Source organism: Homo sapiens, chromosome 22, assembly GCF_000001405.40.
Source record: "Homo sapiens chromosome 22, GRCh38.p14 Primary Assembly".
NCBI lineage: Eukaryota > Metazoa > Chordata > Mammalia > Primates > Hominidae > Homo > Homo sapiens.
The window spans coordinates 44,284,419-44,299,109 of NC_000022.11; the positions used below are offsets into that span (position 1 = coordinate 44,284,419).

Here is a 14,691-nt window from a genome sequence, read left to right on the forward strand (position 1 = left end):
TTAGGTTACCTGCAAAGCTCCTGCACATGAACCCAGGGGTCACTGTGCGGCAAACTCCTGCACCCCTCCAGCAAGGGGGCTCTGGGATGGGTCTTGCAGCCTGGGCTTGGTATCATGATGTCCCTGGATGACGTGCCCTGAGCCCTGTGTGCCCATGGCTGCAGCTCAGCCCCCACAGAGCATCCGAACCTCTCACTCTAGCCCTTGACCTGGGAATCGACCCTCAGTCTGGCTCCTGTCCTTGGTGCTAGCCAGCCTCCCAGGGAGTTCCTGCTCCAAACGCACAGACCCTGCCTCTCCCCTTCCAACTCTAGATGCTGCACTACCCAGGGCCGCCTGGGATTAGGTCAGGCCCATCCCCACCATACTGGAACTGGGCGGAAATGGGAATTGCAGTAGACAAGCTCAGATCTGAACATAACCCTGGGGCAGCCACCCCACAAGGCCAACCCTTGAGATGCCACCTCTCTGCCTTCCTGCCTTCCTTCCTTCCTTCCTTCCTTCCTTCCTTCCTTCCTTCCTTCACAGCCTGCCTGAGTCAGAACTAGTACCCCTCATGCCATACAAGGCATGTACACATAAGGAACTAAGTAACATTTGTATTTTCTAACCTCATGCTGAAAAATCTGGCTGGACAGACTGATTTGCTTCCTTTGGCCAGATTTACAACTCAAAAAGCCATCCGGTTTTCCCCTTTGCCTTGGCAGCTAGGTAACCCAAAACTCCACTAAATGTTTAGTGGTTACCTCTCTCACACTGGGCTCTAAGCGCAATGAGCTTGCAAGCTTTGCTTCTAAGCTCTGTTTCCACCTCTCATTTTGACTTTCCTGTCTAGGCATGTGTTGTAGGCTACCCATAACAGTTTGAAATTTTTCTTGGCAAACAACAAGATAAGCAAACAATCAGGCAACCAATGAGCCAAACACTATGGCGAGAGTGATGGCGTATTCTCCAAGCTCTCCAAAGACAATGACCCAAATCATTCTGGGTCTCAATTGTAGCCACTCACCAGGCAGACGAACTCTGGAAGGTCATCAGCGGTGGGCTGTGAGCATCTCCCCGCAATGTGTGCACGGCCTGTGGGGCTTGTGGCAGCGGGCCTGGGGGAGGCTGCGGCTGTGGGGCCCGCTGACCCGGCCGAGGGGCCCGAGCGGGGTTCCCCCACCGCCGGGGGTCCTGTTTCATCCATCGTCCTTGGATGCCCCACCGTGCCAGGTAGACCTTGCAGATGTCGTAGTTCATTGCCGAGTAATACAAAAGGTCCAGAACCAGCAGCATCAACACGAAAAATCCATAGATCCACACTCCCAACAAGGCGGTGTAATTGCTGCGAACAAACAGAGAGGGAGTGAGCAAGCAGAGGGGAGCAGTCCAGCTCAGGCCGGCTTCATCAGTGGGGCTGATTAGAGAATGTGTCCTGGGGCTATGTTGGGGTCCCCGGGAGGAGGGTACTGAGCCCCTCTGGAGGGCGGGGCCTTGGCTCCCTCTCCTCTGCCTGCCTGTTCGCCTCCTTCCCTGGAATCCACTGCCCGGGCCTGGTCCCCACCTGGGCATCCTCCAGGACCCTGAGTCCTTGGGCTGGGATCCCTGAGGGTCCCACAGAGTCAGACACTTTGGGGGGAATTCTGAGCTGGCATCTGGGGCTCCCAGGACATGGCAGCCTCTTCCTTTACCTGGTGCTGTTTTGGTCTGCCCTCTCCCTCCTTCCTGCAGGTGCCCCTGCCCCACCTTTGCCTACATTGTTCCTGGCACCCGGGATGCTCTCACTGCCTCACCCCTGCTGTGAGGACGGAGGTCCTCCCCATCCTGCTGGACCAAGAGCAGAGGCATCAGGTTCTGCCCTCTAGACCCTCTCTCAGCCTCCCCCAGGGGTCCCCTTCACTCAACACGACCAGGCTGTGCATGGCTGGGGCTGTCCGGGCCCCATGACCTCACTTCTGTTATTCATTTGCCCAACATTTCCCCACCGAGGGCTGCTCTGCCTTCCTCAGGCAGAGGTGGCCAAAGTTGCGGGAGGGTTTGGAAGCCCGCTGTGAAGCCTGGCTCTCCCGGTGTCAGCCGACTCCACTGCAGACAGGGTCTGCGCTCCAGCACCCGGCCTTTGCACAGGCCGTGCCTTCTTTCCCTGCCCCCTTCCTCCCCTGCCTACCTCCCACCGGCCCTTTGTCGAAGATCACTTCCTCCAGGAAGTCTTCCGGACACCCTGACCCTCCTACGCAGCTGGGTCAAGCCTGTCTTCTGGCCCACAGCCCTGAGTTTCCCTCAAACCCAGCCCCTGTCACCCAGAGCCACATCTGTCTCCCACACCCTTCCCCAGGGCCAGGGTCCAAGTCTCCCCGACCTGTGCCCAGAGTGGATGGTGTCCAGGGCTTGCCACAGCAGCTGGAGCTGCCGAGCCCTAACAGTGCGTGCCAGGGGCTGTGGCTGCCTGAAGCCACCGATCTGTTAATCACTCCGGCGCCGCCTCCGTCTGCTCCCTGCTGCAGGCATGTGTTTGGGTGGGTGTGCGCTTCTGGTGTCGAGGAGGCGTGAATGGAGCCAGTGTCCGGCCTGTACACGCCACCGCTGCACATCCCCAGGGAGAGACTCACCTCGCTCTCGCCCAGACGGAGGTCTCGCGGGCAGCAGATCCTTTAAGACCCTGTTTGAGGCTGGGGGGAAGGGGCCAGCCCGGAACCCGGAGACCTGGTTCTAATTCTTCCTCTGCCTGGTTTGCTGTGTGGCCTGGGAAAACCCTTGCCTGTCTCTGGGCCTGGAGGAGATGAGCATGAGGCCTCTCCCAGTCTCGACTTCCAGGCTCCAGATCTTCCCAGGCTTAGGTCAGCCCTGGCGCCAGCAGTGGCCTCTGTAGGAAGATGGGGGCTGCTTCCCTTGGGCTCCTCTGGCCCTGACCAGGGCTGAGCCCAGGGCCGGGGAAGCTCGCTTTCGCTCTCTGCCTAGAATGCCTTCCCTCCTCTCACTTGGCCAAGTTCTTGGCCTGAAGATGCTGCTCGGGTGCCTGGGAGCTCCTGGCTGGGAGGTCTCTGCATGTCCTGAGCACATCCCATGAGCAGCTGTAGGCCAGTGCTTAGGCTTTGTAGCTGTAATCCCACAGCTCCCGGTCACTGTGCGTCCTTGCTGCCTCCTTGCCCCCACCTCCCAGCCCCCACCACCATGAAGCCTGCATCAGACTGATGGGCTCGCTCATGCTAAGGTGTAAATGACTGACAGCCAGGCCCCAGCGGCCTTATGTTAAAAAGAGACTGTTAAAGAGAGGCTAGCTTTTCCTGGAGGCATCTGGATATGGAATTCCTTCCAGGAATTCCAGGAAAAAGAGGCCTGCAGCCCCATCCAGTATGCTGGGGCAGGTGTCCCCGGGGTAGATGTCCATGTAGACCGAGGAGTCAGGCCTGGCTCCAGTTCCCAGGCCCTCCTGCTTTCCCCAGCACCCTCCCTGCTGCAGCCCCCACGGAATTGCTCTAAGTGCCAGGTTTTTCTTCGGTGGTTCCCATGGCAGCAGCCACGGGGGCTGAGGGAGGAGACGGGGAAAGGGGAGGCAGGGCAGCTGTGTGCAGATGCTGTCCGCAGAAGGGGTCCAGGATGCCAGCTGGGGGTGTGGCTGGGCCACAGGCTGGGCCTCGAACCACTGGGCCAAGAAATAATAGTACCAGAAGTGGCAGTGGACGCTCGTTCCCCTACCTGCTTCCCACGTTAGCCCATTTAATGCTCACGCAACCACGGGAGGAAACAGCTTTTTCATCATTGTCATCCCTGCTTTACGGATGGAAAACTGAGGCTCGGTGGAATTAAGAGACTTGCCTAAGAGCTCACAGCCATTAAGGGGCAGAAGCAGAATTTGAACTCAGCAGCTGAGCTCTAGAGTTGCGCTCCTCACCACTATAGCACACTGCCTTGGCTGCGGCCACCCGGGTTCTCAGGTAGAAAAGCTGCTCCAGGGGCCAGGCGCGGTGGCTCATGCCTGTAATCCCAGCACTTTGGGAGGCCGAGGCCGGTGGATCACAAGGTCAGGAGATCGAGACCATCCTGGCTAACACGGTGAAACCCCGTCTCTACTAAAAATTAAAAAAAAAAAAGTTGCTGGGTGTGGTGGCGGGCGCCTGTAATCCCAGCTACTCAGGAGGCTGAGGCAGGAGAATTGCGTGAATGCGGGAGGTGGAGCTTGCAGTAAGCTGAGATTGCGCCACTGCACCCCAGCCTGGGTGACAGAGCGAGACTCCGTCTCAAAAAAAGAAAAACAAAAAAGAAAAGAAATGCTGCTCCAGCCCAACATCTCTCTTGCCTGGAGGCCTTTGTCCATGCTGCACCTCTCTCCAGAACCCCTGCCTACCTCCTGCACACCCAGCTGGCCCTGGCACTGTGTCTTAGCCCAGATATCGCCTCCTCCAGGAAGCCTTCCTTGTCAGTCCAACCCCTACCCTGCATTCTCAAAGCCACTGGATTTCCCAGAACACACTGTTGTCTTTGTTGTTTTGTAGGACTGTCTGCCCCTGGAGATTGGGAGGGCCCTGAAGGCGGGGTTGGGGTTCAAATTGTCTTTATGAGCCCAGCACTCAGCCTTAGGCTGTAAATACTGACACCAACACATACTGACAGCTGAGAATGGGCTGGTGACAGTGGCTGCTTTGATACTAACTTCCCTGGAGTTTATAGGCTGCATGTCTTGTGCGCCAGCAGCTAATAAAAACACTGGCAATTGTTATGCGCCAGTGCCCTGTGCTTCTGAATCCGTGCAATGGCACCATGAGGGAGGAGCTAGTGTTCCCATGTCACACATGAGGAAATGAGACCCAGAGAGGCAAAGTCACTTGCCAAAGGCCACACAGCTGGTGAGTGGCAGCACTGGGAGCTGGACCCAGGTCCCTCTCTGACTTCAAGTGAGCTGATCTTGGGGGAATTCCATGGTTTAATCTAGGATAGATGTCCAAAGAGGGGTCCCCTGTACCTGCGTGGTGTGCCTGCTTGTCCCGGCCCACCCTCTACCAGGAACTGAGGGCGAGTCCCTGTCCTCCCTCCTTGGGGCACCGTGCAGATCAGTGTGTCATTGTAAATGTGTGTGTGTGTGTGTGTGTGTGTGTGTTTACTGCCGGGCTCCTGGCCTCTGCAGCCAGCTTGCTGCAATTGACACATGACATGACCCCCGGCCCTCCCAGCTCATCCTCCCTGTCAGGGAAGGGAGGGGCCTGCCTGCCGGGGGGTGTTGCCTTTGCTGATTCGCCCTTCCTTGTGAGGTGACCACCCTGGAGGTGGCAGGCGGGGACGCCCAGGCCATGGGCACTATGCTGAAACCACTCCCCTGGCCTGCCACGGCTGGCCCTCCCTGTGGTCAGCCAGCTGGGAAGATTCAGGTCTTTAAAAAACTTTTGTAAATGTAATGAAAAATATGTGACCTGGAAATTAATTCCATCCAGATGCAGGGGTCTTTGTTGTGTGGGTGTGTGTTTTGTAAATGGCAGAAGATAAAAAACCAAAGGCTGTTTTATGGAGCAAGATGTGAAGGCAGCCAAAGCCGCAGATCGCAATTTTTTCAGTGTATTTTGGGATATTTACTGATTCAAATTCTTTTGGTGTTTCCCAAGCAGTAAACAAAACCTCTGATGGAGGAATCTCACTGAACGTCTTCCCGGGGCACAGGAGCAGATCCGTCAGCAGGAAGAGCAGCTGCAGCCAGTGTGGGGATGGAAGTCCCCATCACCACCCCACCAGGCAGTCACATTTGAGGGTGGAGGAGGAGAGTTCCTGAGGCCAGCAGGCCAGAACGAAACATCAGCTCAGCTGGAAGATGGCCGATGGCCCCTCTGCTAACCTCGTCTAAAAAATGGGAGTATGGCCTGCTGGGTGCAGTGGCTCACACCTGTAATCCCAGCACTCTGGGAGGCCGAAGTGGGTGGATCACCTGAGGTCAGGAGTTTGAGACCAGCCTGACTAATACGGAGAAACCCCGTCTCTACTAAAAACACAAAATTAGCTGGGCGTGGTGGCAGGCACCTGTAATCCCAGCTACTTGAGAGGCTGAGGCAGGGGAATTGCTTTAACCCGGGAGGCGGAGGTTGTGGTGAGCTGTGATTGTGCCATTGTACTCCAGCCTGGGCAACAAGAGGGAAACTCAGTCTCAAAAAAAAAAAAAAACAAAAAACGGGAGTATGGAGCCCATTGGCAGGAGTGGCCTCGGGTCCACGAGACAAGGTGGATGACTCTGGCGACTAAGGTGTGGGCTCAAGACGTCAAGGCTGTGTGAATCCGAATCCCAGCTTGGCAAAATTCTCTCTGTGATTTTGGGAAACTGAGCTTCAGTTTCCTTGTCTGTGAAATGGGGATACCTAGACCTCCTACTTCATGGTGTAAGTGTGAGGCTGTGAGATAACACGAGGGCCTGGAGAGAGACAGACCCCTGGAATGCTGGCTCGTGTGATTAAGGCACAGAGAGAGTGCTTAATAGGTCTAGACCCAGAGGCAAAGTGCCTCGCCCAAGGTCACACAGCAGGATTGAGGTTGTCTAGGGCAGTGGCGGTGTGTGGGCTTTGGGCCTGGATATACCTGGTGAAGCAGAGTCTATTACTATCAAAATACCACTGCGCCTGGCTGAGGGTGTTCCCAATAGGGTCAATCCCTCTGTCTCTCCTCACTCCACTGGTAACAGGCTTGGACAAGTGACGTGCTTTGGCCAATAAAACATGAGCAAAAATGCTGTGGCCACTTCTGAGCAGAAGCTTAGAGACACGACGTGTGTGGCTTCACCACTGCCTTCTCCTTCTACAGCAGGGCCATCCTACCCGGGATAGGGGCTGCTTCTACGGCCTTGTCACAGAATGCTTTACACATAGAACCAAAGAGCCCAAGAAGGACCCAGAGTATGAGCCAAAAGGAAGCCTTCGCTTCTCAAGCTCCCGGGACCTCTGAGGGTGCTCCTCTCCTTGGCATAACTAAGCCCAGGATGACCGATACGGCTGACCCAAACCCTGTTGTGTCCCCTGTGTGCTGTGTGGCTGCAGGCAGGGCTTCACCCTCTCTGAGCCTCAGCCCTAGTGAACGGGGCTAGTGGAAGGTCCTTCATAGATAACAGATGGAGGGTGTCAGCATGAGTCAGGCCCCTTGTGTTGGAGGAAGTCCTCATAAGTGTTCATTCACTTCCTTCCCCTGGGGAAGGGCAAAGCTTTGGGGGTCAGAGGTTTCACGCGTGGCCAAGGGAGGGACCACCGTCCATGCCTGCACATGCTAGGCCTTTGGGTGCACTGTTCTGTCCTCCTAGAGTCCCTCCCCACCTCCCACCCCCTGCAGCCCATCTGCCTGGTGAAGGAATGCCCATGCATTGTGGGAGATGCCACTCCCAGCCACCTCCTCCAGAGAGACTTTCCCTGTCCCCAGAGAGAACTGACCACATCCCCTGCACGCCCTGGCCCACCGCGACCCCCACACGGAGGCTTCCACAGATCGCCCAGGGACCTGAGTCTGAGTCGCCATTGCTGGTGTCTGGCAGTGCCCTGGCATGGGAAGGAGGGCAGTACACTTCTCACCACGTCAGGGCCCCTGCCCCACCCCTCTCTCTGCAGTCTCTCTATGGCCCACGTGGCTGGAAGCGGGCATCTCGCCGTGGTAGTGGGCTTGGCGAGGCTGCTTCCTCTCACTCTGCCTTCCTGCCAGGCAGCCAGAACCAAAACAAACCATTCTGTTCCTCCAGAAAAATACAAATAAATAAATCATCAGAAGCGCTCTCCTTTTCCCTGTCACCAGCCCCGCCTCCTGGCTGTTTCACCAGCAGGGAGGGCTGTGGCGGGGCGGGGGTCGGGGGAAGGGCGATGGGGGAGGACCAGGAGCTCTTGCATCTGCATAAAGCCCCTTCCGGGAGTCACATTGTCCTAGTCCATCTAGACGGGCTGCTGGTGAGTGCTAACCTGTCTAGGATACTGGAACATCCAGCCTTTTAGCTGGGGTCTGGTGCGGTCCCCAGTGGCACACAAGTCCTGGCCTTCTAGATGCACCAAGGGGTGGCAGAACCAGGGCTCCAGAGCCCCTCAGATCTTGACACCAGTTGTTATCACCCATGTGGTCTGGGACAGGTGACTTCCCCAGCCTGGGGCCCAGCCCCTCCTTCCTCCCATGGTGAGGATTAATGGGCACCACAGGTGTCTTGCCCAGAGGAGCCTGTGATATCGTGTGGCCGGGGCCCCAAATACAGACAGGCACAGAGGTGGACTCTACCTGGGTCCCCGTGCACACAGAGGCCCTCTCCAGCCCATCCAATGACCCAGGACTTCAGCCCTGCATCCCGCTCCCCAAGGCTCATCCTCAAGTCGTCGTCTGCCGCTGGGCCAGCCCCGCCTGGACACCAGGCCCCACGTCAGCTCCCTGGGCTTGGGTCCTCTCCCCAAGGTCCTTGAAACTGGGCAGCTGGGAAGAGGCTTCCATGGCCCCTGACCCGAATTCTTGATCTCCCCTCAGTGGGGTCCAGGTCTGGCCTAGGCCACCCTCATGGCTCCTGCTCCTGCAGACACTCTAGGTCCTCTGGGGTCTTATCCCATGCATGGCCTATGCAGCCTCAAGCCATTTAAGGCCCTCCAGGGACGCTTGATGGCCTCAGAAGAAAGTCTATCCACCCTATCCCCTGGGCTAGACAGGGCCCCGGACCCCCTGCCTCCACCAGCTCTTTATTCCCCGCTTCCCCTTGCTCTTCCACTGGGCTGCAGAGAATTCTGCCCAAAAGTGCTCTTTCCTCTGGGCTGTGGGGCTCCCACCTTCTTAAACGCTGTCAGATCTCGAGAATCAAGCACCACGCCCCCCTCCGCAGGAGCACCTATGACAGGAGAAGCCTGGGGGAGGAGAAGGAGCTGCGTCCTCCTCTGTGTGGGCTCCATACTCACAGCTATGGAGAGGGAAGGCGGCGAGAAGATCGCTGGAGAATGACAAGGGATGGGATCTCCCCAGGGCAGCAGCTTAACTGGAGATGATTCTGTGCCCCCGCATTTGGCACTGTTAGGAGCCATTGCTGGTTGTCACCGGGGTGGTGGGGAGGAGGTGCACCGGGTCAGTGGAGGCCATCGGGATGCGACTAAACATCCCACAATGCACAGAGTGGGCCCCACCATGGAGGGTGACCTGGCCCCAGATGTCAGTGGTGCTGGGGTGGGATCTCCGCTCAGGGGGCCTCTCCTCAGTAGGATCTGCCTCTGTTGGTAGAAGCTCCAGAATGACTAAAGTGATTCCAGCCCATCTGGGTTGGCTGCTGGCTCCACCACGAACCGTTGCCTTCCTCAGGCAAGTGACTCAACTGCTCTGTGCCTCCCCTTCCTCATCTGTAAAATGGGCTGAGGATGGGCTGCCAGGTAGCTGCAGCGGCATGATGAGGTTGAGGGCAGAGACTCAGCTATATTATGTGCTCCATAAACACTTTCTAGGGCTAACGATTAAAAATGTAAGTTAAAATTCTGATCCTCGATACTCCCATTCTCCCCAGGGGAAGGCCTTTACTTTGCAGCCCAACTCTTCATCAGCAGCCGCCAGGACCCCCTGTGCTGCTGGAGTGGAGTGTTCCGTGTGAAATCCTGTGCAAATATGCAGATTATAGAAACTTGTGGGCTTCAAAATGAGGATCCCAGACACCAGTCACCAGACCTTGGAGAAGTCTGGTTGTTTTGCCAAGCCTTGTCTGGCGTTCAGCCAGAACTTGCAGCATGACAGGGTCCTCACCCAAGTCCTGGCACTACCCTCGTCTCTCAGGGAATTCGTTCCTTGTCTTATACAAGGCTTGGGTCAAATCCCAGATCTGATTGCAGCCCTGATATGATGGACAGGGCTTGCTGAGTGACTTCACACACAGAATTATTCTAAGGGCTGAGCAGATGGCGAGAGATTCAAGGGAAGCACCCGTGCATTTGAGGAAGGAAGGATGGGGAGCTGGCCTAGGTGGGAGGTGGGGAGACTTGGAACAGGCGGCTTCCCCCTGAGTGAATGCAGCATGGTGGCAAAGCCCTTCAGCCCCAACATCAGACAGAGATCGAGGCTCACACTTGCAACCCACCACCTCCCTTCAACAAACGCCCTGTTCAAAAAGATTTTTCCTTATCATGAAAAAATACATCTGCCCCAAAACTCAGCCTCATGCTTATTGGGAAAATAATTTGAAGGATCACATTAAAATTAGAAGGAGATAAGAAGCCTGACAATTCTAAAGATTGTTTTAGAGGGACTAGCCAACACAATCAGACAAGAAAAAGAAGTGAGGCACGAAAACAGCAAGGTAGGGTGATAAAATTATCATTGTTTACAAGTGGAATAATTGGAAACCTAAGAGAATCAACTGAAAAAAGAATAAGAAATTTCAGTAAGGTGGCTGAATGCAAAATTCCTATCTCAAAATCATTGCTTTTATCAAAATTCCTATCTCAAAATCATTGCTTTTAACAATACTCAGAGGATATAGTGGAAGGAAAGACCCAACAGCAACATAAAAAGAAATAACTCGAAATAAATGCAAAATATATGTCTAATATCTATATGAAGAAAACTCTAAAATGCTATGAAAGAAAATCTGAACAAATGGAACGACATTTGTATGGAAATGTTTGACATCATAAAAAGTCAATCCTTGGGTTAACCTATGAATTCAACACAATCTCAGTAAAAAATACTAACTGGATTTTTTTGGGGGGAGGTAGGGGTACTACACAGCTAATTCTAAAGTTTGCATGACAAAAGAGCCAGGAGGAGCCCATTAAGATATTAAAACATATTAAAAGTCACAGTGGTTAACACAGTGAGGCACTAGTGTATAGCCAGAGCAAGTGAAGCCAACTGCATATCACACTCTACCTCAATACTCAGATTTAGTATATTAAGATATTTGGTAAGTTTGCATTTCATCTCGGGGGAAAAGAGATGGCCAATTTAATAAATGGTGTTGGAATAACCAGCTACCCATTTTGAAAAAAGAATAATAAAGTTTAATGCCAACTTTAAAACTTTCATCAAAGTAAATTCCAGAGAGCTCAACTAATTAAAGACAAAATATTAAAACGTAAAATAATTAGGAGAAAACATGGTATTTTTAATGACCTCAGAGCAGGAAACACCTTTCTTAGTATGATGCAAAAGCCAGAAACCATAAAAGAAAAAAAAAATGATAAAATGTGATTACATAACAAAAATTAAGCATGAGGAAAAAGCAGTATAAAGTCAAAGTCACAGAGGAAACATTTGTATGGAAACATTCAACAAGGAGAAGATGGGAAGATGTTTGCAACTCATCATATTTCCTTCATATATAAAAAGCACCCATAAGTAAATAAGAAAAAAACAAAAACTTCAATAGAAAAATGACAGAAGACATAAACAGCTAGCTCACGGTAAAAGAAATACAAATGTCTCTCAGGCATGTGAAAAGACGGCCAGCTTCACTCATAATAGAGAAACGCATGCTGTTTTGAAACTCCATGACTCTACTTAGCGTGTTCCCATTGCTTTTCTAACAGCAAACTCTCTCTTTCTCCACACCTGTGGTCCCCTCCATCAGGCCCTGATCCCAATGTATTTTAATCACCTTAAGGAAAAGAACTGCATGGGATTAATCTCTGGGTCAATGGTGTCAATCAGTATTTGTTAAATGAATGAAGAATGAATGAAGGAACCCGGTGGATTACAGGCCCAGGCGCCTTCTACGCCTGAAAGCTTTCCACATCCTTAACCTCACTTAGCTTCTATGGTAACCCTGCAAAGTGAGTATTCTGTGTCCCTCCCTCCCTCCCTCCCTCTTTTCTTTTCTTTTTTGAGACGGAGTTTCACTCTTGTCACCCAGGCTGGAGTGCAATGGCGCCATCTCTGCTCACTGCAACCCTCTGCCTCCTGGGTTCAAGTGATTCTCCTGCCTCAGCCTCCTGAGTAGCTGGGATTACAGGCACCTGCCACCACATCCTGCTAATTTTTGTATTTTTAGTAGAGATGGGGTTTCACCATGTTGGCTAGGCTGGTCTCGAACTCCTGACCTCAGGTGATCCACCCACCTCATTCTCCCAAAGTGCTAGGATTACAGGTGTGAGCTACCGCGCCTGGCCTCTGTGTCCATTTCTCAGATGAGAAAGCTGAAACTTAGAAGGCACAATGGGCCGAAAACCCTGGTCATCCAAAGACTCTCCCAGACTCCTTCCAGGCCCACCCAACCTTATAGCGGTTACCCAACCGCCTCCCTAGGGGACGCGATTTTGGGAGGCAGGCCCCTTGCCTGGGGCCCGAGGCAGTGGGGTTGCACCCCCAGAGTGGCACTCACTTGTGCATGTAACCCTCGGAGCTGGCCGTGAGGTTCGCCTGCATCACCGCCTGGAACTCCGTCTCGTTGCAGCAGTATTTGAAGACCGTGTTGTTATGGTGACAACAGAGGATGAAGGTCTTGTTGTCCGAGAGCCGGGGGCAGTGGAAGCCAAAGTGGTAGCGGCCTTTGTGGTCTGTGTATGGTTCACAGACCCGGAAATGTGCAGACAAGACTGGAAGACAGAGTCACCAGGCTCAGAGGGGTCCCTCACCAGTCCACGGGTGCCAAGAGGCAGGGGGACTGGCCGGCCTCTTCTCAGGTCCTGCCTGCTTCTTCCCTCCCCTGGATGCCTTTGTGGTCCACTGTGAGCCTCACCTCTGGGTTCCCATTACCCCGAGCCTCCCAGCCCTGGTTACATTCTCTGTGTCACCCAGACTGGCTGGTCCTGGAGGGCAGGGCTGGCTCTCCTGCTTCGGTGAACATGCTTGACATGCAGCAGTCACTCAATTAGGAAATCAGCCTTAACTGAGCACCTACTGTATGCTTCACAGACCCATCTCATTTAACTCACACAGCCAAGCAAGTCTGAGATCCCACTTTACAGATGGAGAAACTGAGGCTCAGAGACCTAAGGTGACTTGCCCGAGCTGATAAGTGTTGGAGGGACAGGAATGGAACTCAGGCCTGGATTCAAAGTTTGGGGCCCTCTCCAGTCTTGTATCACTAGCTCTTTGTTCCCAGGTGGGCAGTGGTGGACCTGCTGCTCAGCCCAGGCTGGCCCGGGTGGTGGCTGGCATAGGTGCAAGGACCTCTTGGGTACCTCTTGGGTCAAAAACAGCAGACCCTTCGTTCCTTGGTTTCTACTAAACTAGTACCCTAGGCCCCAAGGTCCCCAAGGGCCTGCCTCAGTCACCCCCACCTCACGGTGGTAGCTCTGCCTTGGCCTGGAACCCTCCCACCACTCTGCTCAGGGGCGGAGGCCCCTATTCAGCCACCAATGCTACTGCAAACCCAGGATGGTATTTACGAGTCGTGCCGATGGTGATAAACAGGACTGAAAGTCTGAACAAATATAACAATGGAAAAAACCTAAAGCCCGCTCTCTCAGGCTTAATTAGTATCTTCATAAAAGAGATCGCTGTATCTAATTTGTATCACTGAAAAGGGGCTTCGCTGGCTGAATACATTCCTTTAACCACAAAGGCAGTGGCTTTGCAGGAGTTCCTCCAGCTCGTTGAAAGCTCTGTGTCTGCTGAGAGGTTATTAGACTGCAGCCCACACAGCTCCCCACCTACCCACCCGGGGCTGCTGCAGGGGAGTCCCAGCTGGGCTGGGCTGGGCTGGAAGATGGGCAGGCGGCCTTCATGTGCTGGGGTGCTGAGGCTGCCTCCGGCGGGGGGCATGAAATTCCACACCCCTTCCCCCACAGACAGCACCCTCTTCTGTGGGGATGGGCATGACCACTGCGAGAGAAAGGTCTCAGCTTTTGGGGAACCAGGGGAGCTCTCCAGGCCCCCTTCTCTTCCTCAACCTTAAGAAAGAAGAATACCCCCTCTGGGGATGTAGAGGTTATTAGAGAGCCCCAAGTAGACAGCTGTCTCACCCCATCTCATTTATTCCCATCGTACAGGGGAGAAAACTGTGGCTCAGAGCAGCAGTTCCCAAAGTGTGGCCCCTGATCGGCCTCGAGGGCATCCCCGGAGGGCTTGTCAGAAATGCAGATTCTCAGGCCACTGGGCTTCTGAATCAGAAGCTCCGGGGTAGGCCCCGCCGTCTGTCCTGGCAAGCCCTCCAGGGGATGCTGATGGGCTTGGGTTTGGGGCCCACTGGCCTAGCGGCAAGGGGCAGAGGCAGCTAGCCAGTTCCGGTCACTGTCTGGGTCACTGCCCAGGTCAGTGAGGAGGCCCTGCTCACGCTCAGTGCGTGGGCAGCTGGGGAGGAACCAGGCACACTCACGCTGCTGGGCAGAAAGTCTAGCTTAGGCCCTGGGACCAGCCCGTGAGGCTACCACAGGACTCAGGGAGGGAAGGGACAGAGCGGTAGGGCAGCATGGGGAGGCAGCCTTTGAGCTGGGCCTCAAGGGACTGGGAGGAGCCTGATATGCAGAGATGGGGGGCCGGGGAGGGCAGGCCCGGCGAGGTTGGGGGATGTGGAAGGGTCCTGCCCATTACCAGCACCCAGCTCACCCGGCCACCACTGGGCGGTCAGCGCCATGGGCTTTGGCCATTTGGTAACGATGAAGCCTCCCCGGCTGCCTTCCCGGAGCCAACAGAGCCCTGGGCTGGGAGCCGGGACAACCGGGTGGGAGTCCTGGCATGAGGCTGCCTGGGCCATCGTGACCTCTCTGGCCTCCTCCCCTCACTGATGAAAGACTCATGGTCTCCAAGGCGGGCTGGGGGCTCCCAGGAGCGTTTTGTAAACAGCAAGGCGCAGCCCCCACCTAGAGAAAGAGGCTG

At 54.6% G+C, this 14,691-nt stretch overlaps 1 protein-coding gene across 2 annotated transcripts in view, besides 2 other annotated features; it reads right to left on the reverse strand.

The window, feature by feature from the left end:
* SHISAL1 (shisa like 1) overlaps positions 1-14,691 on the reverse strand; it is an 88,050-nt gene that overhangs the window by 40,754 nt on the left and 32,605 nt on the right. For both annotated transcript variants that reach the window (XM_005261790.4, NM_001099294.2), the window contains exons 3-4: positions 12,254-12,467; positions 1,010-1,327 (exon numbers count right to left, since the gene is read on the reverse strand). In XM_005261790.4, coding sequence (XP_005261847.1) covers positions 1,010-1,327; positions 12,254-12,467 — 532 coding nt within the window. The remainder of the gene's footprint in view (positions 1-1,009; positions 1,328-12,253; positions 12,468-14,691) is intronic.
* Positions 5,466-6,409: an enhancer, noted in NCBI's record as "H3K27ac-H3K4me1 hESC enhancer chr22:44685764-44686707 (GRCh37/hg19 assembly coordinates)". NCBI's record gives its function as "activates a minimal SCP1, AML or CMV promoter by ChIP-STARR-seq in primed H9 embryonic stem cells {active_cell/tissue: H9 hESC(primed)}" and the evidence as "EXISTENCE:reporter gene assay evidence [ECO:0000049][PMID:30033119]".
* Positions 8,297-9,238: an enhancer, noted in NCBI's record as "H3K4me1 hESC enhancer chr22:44688595-44689536 (GRCh37/hg19 assembly coordinates)". NCBI's record gives its function as "activates a minimal SCP1, AML or CMV promoter by ChIP-STARR-seq in primed H9 embryonic stem cells {active_cell/tissue: H9 hESC(primed)}" and the evidence as "EXISTENCE:reporter gene assay evidence [ECO:0000049][PMID:30033119]".